Source organism: Homo sapiens, chromosome 9 (genome assembly GCF_000001405.40).
Source record: "Homo sapiens chromosome 9, GRCh38.p14 Primary Assembly".
NCBI lineage: Eukaryota > Metazoa > Chordata > Mammalia > Primates > Hominidae > Homo > Homo sapiens.
The window spans coordinates 98,113,372-98,127,592 of NC_000009.12; the positions used below are offsets into that span (position 1 = coordinate 98,113,372).

General features: G+C 48.4%; 2 protein-coding genes across 13 annotated transcripts in view, besides 2 other annotated features; both read right to left on the reverse strand.

The window, feature by feature from the left end:
• TRIM14 (tripartite motif containing 14) overlaps positions 1–5,851 on the reverse strand; it is an 83,426-nt gene extending 77,575 nt beyond the window's left edge. For 9 of the 10 annotated variants that reach the window (XR_929880.4, XM_047424162.1, XM_047424161.1 and 6 more), the window contains exon 1: positions 5,611–5,851. Coding sequence is in view for 7 of the 10 variants with exons in the window: in XM_047424162.1 (XP_047280118.1) it covers positions 5,611–5,817 (207 nt within the window). In the remaining 3 variants the exon portion in view is untranslated. Of the gene's footprint in view, positions 1–5,383; positions 5,583–5,610 lie in introns of those variants that run through there. The other variant, XM_011519244.3, reaches the window with a different exon arrangement.
• Positions 5,325–5,374: an enhancer, noted in NCBI's record as "active region_28691". NCBI's record gives its function as "activates an Ori minimal core promoter by ATAC-STARR-seq in GM12878 lymphoblastoid cells {active_cell/tissue: GM12878}" and the evidence as "EXISTENCE:reporter gene assay evidence [ECO:0000049][PMID:35858748]".
• Positions 5,685–5,784: a silencer, noted in NCBI's record as "silent region_20115". NCBI's record gives its function as "represses an Ori minimal core promoter by ATAC-STARR-seq in GM12878 lymphoblastoid cells {active_cell/tissue: GM12878}" and the evidence as "EXISTENCE:reporter gene assay evidence [ECO:0000049][PMID:35858748]".
• The window catches only part of CORO2A (coronin 2A), a 71,663-nt gene continuing 65,045 nt past the window's right edge, over positions 7,604–14,221 (reverse strand). For all 3 annotated transcript variants that reach the window (NM_052820.4, XM_011518986.4, NM_003389.3), the window contains exons 11-12: positions 13,178–13,452; positions 7,604–11,534 (exon numbers count right to left, since the gene is read on the reverse strand). In NM_052820.4, the coding sequence (NP_438171.1) occupies positions 11,403–11,534; positions 13,178–13,452 (407 nt within the window). In that variant the 3' untranslated portion in view covers positions 7,604–11,402. The remainder of the gene's footprint in view (positions 11,535–13,177; positions 13,453–14,221) is intronic.

Consider the following 14,221-nt stretch of genomic DNA (forward strand, 5'->3'; position numbering starts at 1 on the left):
TGAGACAGGGTCTCACTTTGTCACCCAAGATGAAGTTCAGTGGTGCAATCTTGGCTCACTGCAGCCTTGACCTCCCAGGCTCAAGCAATCCTCCTGCCTCAGCCCCCCAAGTAGCTGGGACTATAGGCACACACCACCACACGCAGCTAATTTTTGTATCTTTTGTAGAGACAGGGTTTCACCATGTTGCTCAGGCTGGTTTTGAACTCCTGAGCTCAAGTGATCTGCCTGCCTTGGCCTCCCAAAGGGCTAGGATTACAGGCATGAGCCACTGTGCCTGGCCTAAAAGTAAAACTTGTTTTTCTCCTTTGAATAAAAATGTAATGTAGAATTAATAAGAGACGGTAAAAGATGTATTTACTTTTGCATAAATGGCAAAGAAAAGGTAACTGGGGAGAGTTTGTCCCATGCTGTCTTTATTAGGTCTCTTGATTGAGAACTGAATCTCCTCTATCAGAGTGGTTTTTGCTTTTTGAAATCTTTGAATAATCATTTTGGCTAAAGTAATTACCATTATTTTGTAGTGACCTGTGATTCTATTTTGATCATGTGTTTTAAACCTTTCTTATTTCTATATCAAGTGTTTTAAACCTTTAATATTTGAGATACTTCCCAAAATTAAATTAAGTCTTTTTGACCCAAGCTAACTTGGGCATAACCAGGACCCCTGGAAGTCCAAAAGAGACACATTAGGCTTATTTGGGATGTCAAAGTCATATGGGAAATATTGTCAAATAAGAAATGATGTTTAACTTTCTTTGAGTTATATTTATAAAAGCGTATTATTAATGTGTTCCAAAATTGTATGAGATTCCTAAAAGTCTGATATGTCTTGGTATATGTTATCAGTATATCATTATCATAATTATTATGATAAACTGGTGTGTGCCACACAAATAACCACATATCCTAGTCAATTTCATCTTTGACCGTGGCTATTCTAAGCCTTTTATCATCCACAGACAATTTGTTTTTTTTTTGAGACAGAGTCTCATTCTGTCGCCCAGGCTGGAGTGCAGTGGCGTAATCTCGGCTCACTGCAAGCTCCACCTCCCGGGTTCATGCCATTCTCCTGCCTCAGCCTCCCAAGTAGCTGGGACTACAGGTGCCCGCCACCACGCCTGGCTAATTTTTTTGTATTTTTAGTAGAGACAGGGTTTCACCATGGTCTCGATCTCCTGACCTCGTGATCGGCCCGCCTCAGCCTCCCAAAGTGCTGGGATTACAGGCGTGAGCCACCGCACCCAGCCGACAATTTTTATTTTACTTTGATTCTTTTAAAAAAAGTCGTTTATAATCAGCTACAAAATTTGCTTCATCTTTAAGGAAATTTTTGGAAAAAAACCCTGACAAGTACTCTTGAATACAGGTTTCTGGTAACTTCAGAGATCTTACCATTGGATTAAGCAAAAGCTTCCAGAACTCTAATAAAAACCTGAGGCATTCATGAAGACTGCTAACCCAACATCAAGCAGAGCAAGAATTATTTACATGGGACTAAACTGATAGAGGATAAAAGTGATTTTTATGATTTTTAAAATTTGAAACATTGCTGATTCTTTTTATATTGTTTTTCAGTCAAGAAAATTTTTTCTTTTGTCACAGCAACTGGATAAAAGATACTTTTGTGAGCAAAATTGAAACATTTGTCTTTCTCTCTACCTGATTTCACCAAAATTTGCAAACTATTTGTGTTTACTTTTTTTATTTTCATTTTTAAATTAATTTTTTTTTTTTAGACAGAGTCTTGCTCTGTCACCCAGGCTGGAGTGCAGTGGCATGATCTCGGCTCACTGCAACCTCTGCCTCCTAGGTTCAAGCGATTTTCCTGCCTCAGCCTCCTGAGTAGCTGGGACTACAGGTACATGCCACCACGCTTGGCTAATTTTTCTTTCTGAGGTGGAGTCTTTCTCTGTTGCCCAGGCTGGAGTGCAGTGGCACAATCTTGGCTCACTGCAACCTCTGCCTCGTGGGGTTCAAGCAGTTCTCCTGCCTCAGCCTCCCGAGTAGCTGGGATTACAGGTGCCCACCACCATGCCCAGCTAATTTTTGCATTCTTAGTAGAGATAGGTTTCACCATGTTGGTCATACTGGTCTCGAACTTCTGACCTCGTGATCCACCCACTTTGGCCTCCCAAAGTGCTAGGATTACAGGCGTGAGCCACTGAGCCCAGCACAATTTTTGTATTTTTAGTAAAGATGGGGTTTCACCATGTTGGCCAGGCTGATCTCCAACTCCTGACCTCAACTGATCCGCCCACCACAGCCTCCCAAAGTGCTGGGTTTACAGGCGTGAGCCACCGCACCTGGCTATTTGTGAGTATTCTTATTTTATGACAATATAGTTATTTGCATAAGTTCAATAAGAGTATGTTTTCTTTCATAACAGACCACATTGGAGACACTGGTAATTTTACCAAGGCTTTGACTGAAATGATATATCTTCATATATGATCAGACTGCTTTCAGGAACTGAAGTCAAGTTTACAGAGCCCATAAGAAGACCCTTGGGGGCCAGGCTTGGTGGCTCAGGTCTGTAATCCCAGCACTTTGGGAGGCTGAGGTAGGTGGATCACTTGAGTCCAGGAGTTTGAAACCAGCCTGGGCAACATAGTGAGACCCCGCCTCTATTAAAAAATGTTAACAAGAATAAAATAAAATACAATAAAAGGGGGCCCAGCACTTTGGGACACTGAGGTGGGCAGTTCACTTGAGGTCGGAGTTTTCAAGACCACCCTGGCCAACATGGTGAAGCCACATCTCTACCAACAAATACAAAAATTAGCCAGGAGTGGTGGTGCACACCTGTAGTTCCAGCTACTCAGGAAGCTGAAGTGGGAGAATCACTTGAACCTGGGAGGTGGAGGCTGCAGTGAGCCAAAATTGCACCACCACACTCCAGCCTGGGCAACAGAGTGAGACCCTGTCTCAAAAAAAAAAAAAAAAAAAAATCCTTGGAAAGACTGGACTAGCTTGGTCCTTGTCTACACAGTTCCCTTACAAGGTTCCCGACCTTGTGGTAAGAAAAGAATGTCACTTTCCGACAGGTCTAGGAACCTCAAGATATTTTGGGACCTTGAGAAGAGAATAATTCACCCAATGTGTATGGGTATCACAGGCATAGTCTGATGGTGAATCCTTGGTTTGGCTTTTTAGCTGTAAGGCTTTTAAAAGTCAAATCCAGGCCAGGCGTGGTGTTTCACGCCTATAATCCCAGCACTTTGGAAGGCTGAGGCAAGAGGATCACTTGAGCCCAGGAATTCTAGACCAGCCTGGACAACATGGTGAAACCCCGTCTCTACAAAAAAAATACAAAAAAAAAATTAGCCAGGTGTGGTGGTGCATACCTATAGTCCCAGCTACTTGGGAGGCCAAGGTAGGAGGATTGCTTGACCCTGGGAGGTGGAGGTTGCAGTGAGCCACGATCATGCCATTGCACTCTAGTCTGGGTGACAGAGTGAGACCCTGTGTCTCAAAAAAAAAAAAAAAAAAGTCAAATCCAAAATTCCTTATGAAAGTTCCAATAATGCAAATTATCAGGCCAAGTGTAATATTAAAACTTACTTTGCAAGTAAATTTGTCCTATCAAGACTCATTTTTGGTAAAAACAGGGAACTAGAGAGAGAAAAATTATGTTTCAGAAGAAAATCTTAGCACACCTGTTATGCACACCTGTTATTCCTGTTATTAGATTCCAGCCCTGGCCATTGTTTTTTAGTTTTTATTTTCCTGCAATTTGGACTAAATCCTGAATTATTTCCTGGCTACAACAAGGAAGGTTGTAGAAAAAGTTTTAGAAGCCAATTCCTGGCTTTTAAAGAAGGCTTGGGATTTTCTTCGTGATGTTTTTAGTTGACTCCCCAGTGGAATAGGTTTGGTGTTGTTCTGCCATAGAGATTCTCTGTTTTATTTATTTATTTATTTATTTATTTATTTATTTATTTAAGACAAAGTCTCACTCTGTCATCCAGGCTGGAGTGCGGTGGCGTGATCTCGGCTCATTGCAACCTCCATCTCCCAGGTTCAAGCGATTCTCATGCCTCAGCCTCCTGAGTAGCTGGGATTACAGATGTGTACCACCACACCTGGCTGATTTTCATATTTTTTAATAGAGACGGGGTTTCCCCATGTTGGCCAGGCCTCAAACCCTTGGCCTCATGTGATCCTCCTGCCTCAGCCTCCCAAAGTGCTGGGATTACAGGCATGAGCCACTGTGCCCGACTGCTTATGTCATTTTAATGTAAATTCTTGGTAAACAATTTAGGAACTGCTTCTTCTTTTTTCCTTAAAAACTTATATGTAACTGCTGCTAATCAGAGTGGATAGTCACAGAAATTTGAATCTATGGTCCCAGTTGGCCATCCTCAAGCTTTAGGCTTGGATAAACTCTGTACTTAATCATATTTTCTGAATCTTATTACTTCAAGTTGACAGTAGGTAGTGGGTAGGGGGATGGACAAATGGATGGGTGAGACTCTTGAGCCAGATCTGTGGAAAGCAGCCTTGTTAATTCTGAATAACAGTTTTTCAAGGAGCCATTATTATAATTACAGCCATTTCATACGTTAAAAAAAGGAAGGGTCTGGTGGCAGGGACAGGTCTTGAGCCCACGACTCCACTGGATTGTCCCCCATGATCCCCTTTTCACCTTGGAGTTCCAAGGTTGTCACAGTGTGGTGGTCTGGAGTCATGCAGTACCGGAGAAAGGCTCACGATGGGGCTGAATTCATCACAGAAGACTTCTTGGAGACAAGTGGTAGGATCAACAGCTGTCAGACATGAGGGCCTACCTCACCCAGGCTTCATGAAACCCAGAGAGAGAGAAGGATTTGAGAGAAGCCACAGAAAAAGTCAGCTGGGAAGCTGGAGCAGGAGCCCAGAGCCCCTGGGGCACTGTTAGGATTATGCATGGGTAAGGGTTCCACGGTGACAATGGCCCTGTTGGGGGCATCTGGCTAATGGAGTCCTGGGTTCAAGGCCTGCCCCTGCCTCCAGAGCCTTCCTCTTGTGGCCTATAAAATGGCTGTAATAATAATGGCTCACCCAGGGCTGCTATGAGCAGGAATGGGAGTGTCTGTGTGGCCGGGGAGGGGAGAGGAGGTAGGTAGTGACAGCTGAGGCTGCTCCCAGGGCAGTCAGGCCGTCCTCAGCTCAAAGTTCACAGGCCCTTTCTGTGGACTGCAGATTAAGTAAACCTGAGATGTCTGTGTGGCTTTCTGAGCTACACAGGGCTGTTTATTAAGAGGGAGAGTTTGTACCTCTGTTAACTAAAAGGCAGACTGTCTTCCAGCCCAATGGCAGTGTGGCGGATCGGCCATGGTGGACACGGTCAAGGACATCTGGGTACCAGCCTGGGCTCCCAACCTCTCACTCCTAAACCCACCTTTTCTGAAGCTCAACTGATGGCTTTGGCTCGCCTTTGCCCTTCCTTGGGTCTCAGGCTCCCGCTCTGAACTTTCGGTCGACCGCTTAGACGCCCTCTGGGGCACCTTTGGTTTCCAGGTTGTAACCCGCCACTGGCCACGGCCAGGCACGCCCCCTCCTCGGCCGTTATGCCTGGGCTGGCTCCCCCAACTCCCGCGCGGCGAACCCCGTCCCCATCGTCCCCACCTGCACGTGCACCGCTGCCTCCAGCGCCAGGCCCACAGGGTGGCCACGGTGCGCGCCCAGCACCGGGCAAAGCGCGCACACGCAGCGGCGGCAGCGGCGACAGAAGAGCTCAGCCACGCGGTCGCCATGCTCCGGGCAGCGCCAGCCGCATCCCTCGACAAGCTCCGACCTCCCAGGGGTCCGGCTCCCGGTCGCCGCGCCCGCCATTCATCTCCACCTCCTCCGGCTCCCCGGGACACAGGGCGGGGCTCCCAAGGGAAACCGAAACCTCGGCCGTGGGCGGGGCGGCTCCAGGCCGGCCGGCCGACCCCTAGGAGGATGACAGCCCGCCGGGAGCAGCGTCGGGCCTCGGAGCATCCTCCGACCAGCAGGGTGCTCCCTCTGCCCGCCCAGGCCGGGAGGTGGTCCCACCAGAAATGGGAAGCTCCTAATGAGCCAGCTAGGAGAGGGTGGGCTTCCTGCTTAATGACGCTGTTCCAGTAACGCCCAGAAAACTGCAGCCCTGATGATGGGACCAAAGTTGGCTGTGACCTTCCGGGGGTGCTCCTCTCACTTTCCCTTGATCCTCTCTTGCCCTTTTCCCCGGAAAGATAATCATTCCCACAACTGTAAGATACCTTCATCAACCTCAAATAAGGACACAGAGATTCTCCAATTGAGTTTATTTCGGACTGAGCAGAAGGATTGCAATTCGGGAATAAATGTGCCATGGCACCCAAGGGGTGGGGACGCGGAGTACTCAGGGAGGCAAAGGAAAGCAGAGGCTTTTAAAGGCAAAACGAGGAGGATTGCATATACTGTTTTTTTTGTTTGTTTGTTTGTTTTTGTTTTTTTTTTTTTTTTTTTTTTTTGGAGACGGAGTCTCGGTCTGTCGCCCAGGCTGGAGTGCAGTGGCGCCATCTCTGCTCACTGCAAGCTCCGCCTCCCGGGTTCACGCCATTCTCCTGCTTCAGCCTCCCGAGTAGCTGGAACTACAGGCGCCCGCCACCACGCCCGGCTAATTTTTTGTATTTTTAGTAGAAAAGGGGTTTCACTGTTTTAGCCAGGATGGTCTCGATCTCCTGACCCCGTGATCTGCCCGCCTCGGCCTCCCAAAGTGCTGGGATTACAGGCGTGATCCACCGCGCCCGGCCAGATCGTTTTAAAATAATAATACTTGGTTACAAGAATTAATACAGGTGGCTTCAGTCCAAAAGTTGAACAGGCAGTTGCTGGGCAGATGTCCTCATATCATGGCTTTTGTGCAAGGTTGTGGTTCTTTGTGCAAGGTTGCAGTTTGGTGGAATCTTTTGCAATAATAGTTCCTGTTACCAGGCAAATCGTTGATGAGGGCCCCCCACTTCATGGCCTCCCAGCACCATTTAGTTTGTTTGAGACAGGATCTCGCTCTGTTGCCCAGGCTGGAGTGCAATAGTGCGATCATAGCTCACTGCAGCCTCTAACTCCTGGGCTCAAGTGATCTTCCCACCTCATCTCTGGAGTAGCTGGGACTACAGGAGCACCATTTAGTTTGGTTTTGATGTAAGTGACTCTGTTTTGGTACTGACAACTTTCACACACACACCACCACCCCAAATTCCAGTTGCCCCCCCAGGCTCAAGTCTAGACTTCCACTTATAAAGCCCTCAGCTCTTTCTTAAGATCCTTGGTCTCCGCCCTGCCTATGCTCCACCCTGTGCTTTTTCAAGACTGGGGGACGTGCAGTTTACCCTGCTTGGAACATTCTTCTTCCCAAATGCCCTTTGCCCTGAGTATTCCAACTTACTCTGCAGGTTTCTACCTTACTATCTTTTCCTCCAGGAAGCCTTCCCTCCTTCTCCTTCCAGAACAGCCTATGCTTTCCCTATCCTGGCCCTCCCCATTCCCGCAGCCATGACTGAAAACTGGAGAGGGCAAAGACTGTCTGTTCTGCCTGTTTTCCAGCTTGGTGTCTGACTCCAAGAGTAGATAGTTAATTGGTATTTGTGGAACAAATCAAGAAAAGGAAAGCTCCTTGTAGTAAAATGGCCAGATGTTTATTATTTTGTTACATTATTTCCATTGCATATTCCACATCTATTTATTTTCACTTTTATTTATTATCATTATTTTTCACAAAGGTACAAGGAATTTCAGAAACAACATTAAAACAATCATTCAAACTGTTTCAGGCACGGTTTCAATTAAAAGCATAGATTTGATTTCTGACTTCCTGTTTCCTTCTATGATACAATCTCAAGTTTTGTTTCAGGAAGCACAATTATTGTAGCGTTAAGGTGGATACCTGCCAAAGCTCATCTCCTAGTGCTGTCCTCATTCTCAGAAAGTTCCTGAGTCAACAGAAAGGGGACGCCCAGGGTATGGAATAAGGAGATGAGAGCATGCTCTGCCAACTGGCTGGGACCTGAATGTGCTAGGCAAGTTCCACTACATCAGCTCAAGAACATAAACAAAAATGTAATTTAAAAAACAGATGGTTTAAAAAAATATCTGATAAAAATTACCTATCCCTCTCCCTTGCTGTGAAATAATTTAAATAATTTATTCTAGATGTAAAAATAATAATACAAAAAAGTTTGTTCAAAGACACCTGTGTCCTGTTTGTTAAGTGTGCAGTCTGGGTCCCTTGGGGTGGAGGGAGCTGGCCAAGGAATGGCATTGTGCAGAGGCATACCGGGAAGCTCTCTGGATGCAACCCCACCTCTACCGCTTGGCAGTCAATGACCTTGGCATGATGTTTCTTCACTTCTCTGAGGCTAGGTCTTTGATTCTGAACATGGGGACTGTAATGCCTGCCTGACCTGTGTTAGAACAGCATGTGTCACTGAGTGGAGGTGGGAGGAATTTGTAAACTGTGAAGTGCTAGCCACACAGGTGGGAAAGGTAAGCCTATCCTGTAGAGCTCTGCTGCCCTGACAATGCCTGGGATTTGGCCTTCTTTTCTGGAGCACACTAAGGCAATCTTGGCTAGTGCATCAGACGGGAGTGAGCCCCAGTGACTGAGTAAATGGAGAATAAGACAAGGAACACGAGCATCCGGCCTGTGCAGACATACAAGCAGAATAAACCACAGCTGGGTAAGGGGCAAACAGGGGCACTGAACCCCCATCGTGCTGCAGCTGCGGTTCCCAGAGATGTTGAGGGAGGGCTTGGGGCAACACTTCTGGACTTTTAAGGAGCCACCAGGCAGGACTTAAGAGATCTGGGTTGAGTCCCAGCTCCTGTCTGGAGCTTGCTGTCCTCTTCATCTTTATTGCAAATAGGTACACATGCAGTCTTCCATCTTCACTGTACTGCAGATCACCTGTGGAGCTTATATGACCATACAGGCCCTACTCTGGAGATTCAGCTTCAGTTGGTCTGGAATGTGGCATGGGCATCTGTATTTCCTGCACGCTCCCAAGGGAATTCTAATGTACACAGCTTGGGTTGAAACCTACCAGACTAGGTGGCCTCCTGCAGTCCCCACCTCAGCTCCAGAATCTAATCGCCCTGTGCAATGGAGATCATCTGCCCCTCCTTGGTAAGGAGGGACCAATTTCACTTCTAATCATTCCCAGTCTCTTGGTGGACTATTGTATTGACCACTGAACTTTAGAGTAGGGCTCGGAACACAGATTCACTAAGGAGGGACAAAGAAAAGCTTTCAGGCTAAAAGGGAACTTTGGGACCATCTGGTACTACTTCTTTACCTCGTATAGTCATTTCAGAAGACCTCCTGGTTAGGTGGCCAGAGGCTCTGCTGGCATGTCTCCAGTGATGGGGGCCCCCTACCTCCTGGGGGACTCTTCTGTTAACTAGGGCTGAAATCTGCCCACATCATCCTGCAGGAGGCAGGCTGTGTACCTGAGGGCCTTGGTGGTGGCAGTCAGCAGTCATGGGCACAGTTCTGAAGTCTGCGTCCCTCCATAAGGGACAGCATCTATCCATATCAGGCTGATTCTGGTTGGAAAGGTTGGTTTTGACCACCTGCCTGTGTTGTAGAATTGGGTTGAATGCCTCTGACCCCTTGCCAGTGTCCGTTAGTTTCTGTAGCAAACCCAGATCACCCCACAGGTAGTTTTCTCTTAGGTCAAGGTTTCAGGTGGCAGATCCTGCAGAGAGCAGCTTGTTCCAGGGTACCCCTGGTTCAGATGAAGAAACTGAGACCAGAGAGGGCAGGACTTGCAAGAGGTCACTGAGTAAGCTGGGGCACAGCTGAGGCCAGAAGCAACAGATTTCTACTCTTTGGGCTGAGAACTGCATCAGACCCAAAAGAGCAAAAAGACAGACCCAGAAAAGCAGGATCTCAGCCCAGCCCTGCCATGAAACAAATATCACTTGCCTCTCTCTAGGCCTTAGTTTCCCCAGCTGTAAAATGAGGAACTTGGGTCAAATCACTAGCTTTCAAACTTCTAAAAAAATTTTTTTTTCCTAGCAGAATTGTTTTTCATACTAGCCCAACATATAAAATAGAAGGGAGCTGTCTGGTTGGAATACAGTGTGGGGAAGGGAGACACAGCCTTCCTGCTTAGTCTTCCCCTATTCTCTCTCTCTTTTTTTTTTTTTTTTTGGAGATGGAGTCTCGCTCTGTCACCCAGGCTGCAGTGCAGTCCGCAATCGTGGCTCATAGCAACCTCCACCTCCCAGGTTCAAGCAATTCTCCTATCTCAGCCTCCCGAATAGCAGGGACTACAGACGCTCACCACCACGGCTGGCCAACTTTTTTTTTTTGAGACGGAGTCTCACTCTGTCACCCAGGCTGGAGTGAAGTGGCATGATCTTGGTTCACTGCAACCTCCGCCTCCCAGGCTCAAGCGATTCTCCTGCCTCAGCCTCCCAAATAGCTGGGATTACAGGCATGCACCACCATGCCTGGTTAATTTTTTATTTTTAGTGGAGACGGGGTTTCACCATGTTGGCCAGGCTGGTCTTGAACTCCTGACCTCAGAAGATCCGCCCAGCTTGGCCTCCCAAAGTTCTGGGATTATAGGCGTGAACCACCACGCCCTGCCTAATTTTTGTATTTTTAGTAGAGACGGGGTTTCACCATGTTGGCCAGGCTGGTTTCTTTCTTTTTTTTTTTTTTTTGAGACAGACTTTTGCTCTTATTGCCCAGGTTAGAGTGCAGTGGCACAATCTCAGCTCACTGCAACCCCCGCCTTCCGGTTTCAAGCAATTCTCCTGCCTCAGCCTCCCAAGTCGCTGGAATTACAGGCGCCTGCCACCACGCCCAGCTAATTTTTTTGTATTTTTAGTAGAGATGGGGTTTCACCATGTTGGTCAGGCTGGTCTCGAACTGCTGACCTCGTGATCCACCAGCCTCGGCCTCCCAACATGCTGGAATTACAGGCGTGAGCCACTGCGCCTGGTGAGACTGGTTTCAAACTCCCGACCTCAAGCAATCCGCCCACCTCAGCCTCCCAGAGTGCTGGGATTACAGGCATGAGCCACTGCGTCTGGCCCAGTCTTCCCCTATTCTCTGGACCACAGTTTGAAAATCACAGACAGGTCAACCTAGATCCTTCCAGCTCTAGTTTTCTACTGTGTTCTTTCCTCTTGAGAAGTTACAGCTCATCATGGGCCCTTAATAACAGAATTCAACAGAAGGCATCATCTGAAAACAAAGTCAATTCAGAAACTGTTGTTGCAAGAAGGCAAACAGAAAAACGGCACCATGTCCCACTGGAATCTCTTTCAGCGATGGAGAGTTTTGTTTTCTGGTAAAAAATATAGAAATAGTGGTTGTCCTTGAGGGGACTTGTGGTTTGGTTCTAAACCTCCCCATGGAGCCGAGTGGTGTCCCTGAGGGTGAGGAGGGCAGAGGTCTCTGCTCAGAGCTGCTCTGAGCCCATCCGCAAGTTTTTGATCTCCAGTTCCAACTGTTTGGCCTGGACCTCTCGCTGGGTCAACAGCTCCCGGAGCCTTCGGATCTCCTCCTGTTGCCGGTAGAACATCTGCAGCAACTGGGGAAGAAAGATCGGAAGGCAGGATCACCATGGTGTCAGGACACCAGCTGAAAGCTAAACCACTATCCCTCTTTGACTCAGAAAGGTGGAGGCGGTCACATTAACATGGCTGAGGCCTGATGGGGCTGTCACTGCATAGATCTTTTACAAACACCTTGTTTACTTCACCCAATAAATGAAATTCAAGAAGACTGGAATGTTTCAGATGTATTTTGCTTCCATAGATCCTCCATGAAATAGAGGAAAGGATGCCTGGCTCTGAAGTCTGGGGATTGGTGTTTTCGCCACCACTGAACTGTGTGACCTTGGGCAAGTTACTTACCCACTCTGAGCTTCCATTCCTTCCTCTGGAAAATGGGGTCAGAAAACTGCCCTCTGTGCAGAATGGGTGTTAGATATTGAGTGATGCCCTAAGGGCCTCGTTATCCCACTGGAACGTTGTGACACCCCTATAAGGGTGGCAGTGCTAGTGTCCCCACCGTACCACCGTGGAAACGGAAGCTTAGAGACATTCAGTCTCTGGGTCTAAGACCCTAAATTAGTACTCAGCAGAGCCAGGATCAGAATCCATCTGTGAGATGCCAGCCTCTGTGTTCTTAGCCACTACAGACTGACTTCCAGGGCTGTTGAGAGAATTCAATCACGTGCTGTATCAAAGTGCCTACCCCAGGATCTGCCACACAGTAGGCACTAAACAAATGTGGACTTTGAAAGCACAGAAAGTCCTATAATGTCAGAACTGGAAAGACTTTGATACCCACTAGGTCAAACCCTCTCCATTTTACAGATGGTTTCCCACCATTTTTTTTTTTTTTTTTTTTTTTTTTGAGACAGAGTCTCACTCTGTTGCCCAGGCTGGAGCGCAGTGGTGTGATCCTGGCTCACTGCAGCCTCTGCCTCCTGGGTTCAAGCAATTCTCCTGCCTCAGCCTCCAGAGTAGCTGGGACTACAGGCACGCACCACCATACCCAGCTAATTTTTGTATTTTTAGTAGAGACGGGGTTTCGCCATGTTGGCCAGGCTGGTCTCAAACTTCTGGCCTCAAGAGATCCACCCGCCTTGGCCTACCAAAGTGCTGGGATTACAGGTGTGAGCCACTGCACCTGGTCACCTGGTCCCCACCATCTTTTTTTTTTTTTTTTTTTAAGATGGAGTCTTGCTCTGTTGCCCAGGCTGGAGTGCAGTGGTGTGATCTTGGCTCACTGCAACCTCCACCTCCCAATTTCAAGCCATTCTCCTGCCTCAACCTCTCAAGTAGCTGGGACTACAGGTGTACGCCACCACACCCGGCTAATTTTTGTATTTTTAGTAGAGATGGGGTTTCACTATGTTGGCCATGCTGGTCTTGAACTCCTGACCTCATGATCTGCCCGCCTTGGCCTCCCAAAGTGCTGGGATTACAAGAGTGAGCCACTGTGCCCAGCCTCCCACCATCTTTATGTATGCCCATCATTTTGGCATAAGATGGAGCTCACTGCCTGTTTGTTGAATGAATTAACAAAATGAGTCAAGTGACTAGGCCAGGCCACACAGCTGGTTATTCTTCTCATGCCTCATTTTCTCCCTTCTTCTCAGCCTGGATCTGTTCCCCTCCACCCCAGCTGCCCCATGTGAAAGGCCCACCCCGTCCTCCTTCACACCTCATTCTCTGTCTTTGGTGGGGGGCATTCGAAAACGTCAAAGCCATTTGTCAGCCAGGTTTTCTTCTCCTCCAGCCTGTGTTCTGCTGCCCACCTTGGCATCTTCTCCTCCAACAGGGAGGAAGACCTCCAGCCATCTTCTGCAGCCAGCTTTTCTGTCTGATTCAAGAGCCGGGGTGAGGCTGGGGCCATGGAATTGAAGATAGGTCTCTCTGCAGGCAGTGGGTGGGGTCTCAGCAGCTCAGAGCCAGGCCTAAGGGACACCAGGATTGGGTCTGGAAGGGAAGCAGAGCCATGTGAGGACGGGGTGCCCACGGGAAGATGGGCATATGGGGCACCAATGACACAGGCAGGCATGCAGAGACACTCAGAGCCATGCAGACCCATGCAACATGTGTGGGAAATACAGCTACCTGTGGACAGGCCCAAACCCACAGAGCAGGGCTAACAGATACAAATACCCACGTGTGCCACCCTCAGAGTGAAGCTTGGTTTGTAGGAACAGCACGGTGCGTGCACTGAAGCAGCCCCCAAACACTTCAAACTCACATGAGACCTTGCCCTTGCTTTGTAAGGACAGTCCCACCCACACTGCACCCCACCATCTACCAAGTTCATTAGTTCTCTCACCACCTCCAGAAAGCAGGGGAGGCTGGCATCATGGCTACAGATGAGGAAACTGAGGCCCAGGGAGCAAAACCTACTTAAGGTTATCCAAAACTAGGACTCGGCCCTGGTCCGCTGCCCCCCAAGGCAGAGGCTCTTCCAGTACACCAGGAGGCCCGCTCAGCCACTGGGGTGGGGGTGAAGGAAGTTTGTGGGGGTGGAAGGGAGAGGGAGCAGCTGGGGTGACTGCTTCTGCTGGGCTGGCCCCCGTGTTGGCAGGAGCGGGAGAGTGGCTCAGGACAGGCAGAGTGGGCAGAGGGACCTGGGTGGGGGTTGCTGCCTGGAGGGCTTCTTGGGTCAAGAAGAATTGCAAAAGGCCAGGCCCAGTGGCTCGCACCTGTAATCCCAGCACTTCGGGAGGCCGAGGCAGGTGGATCA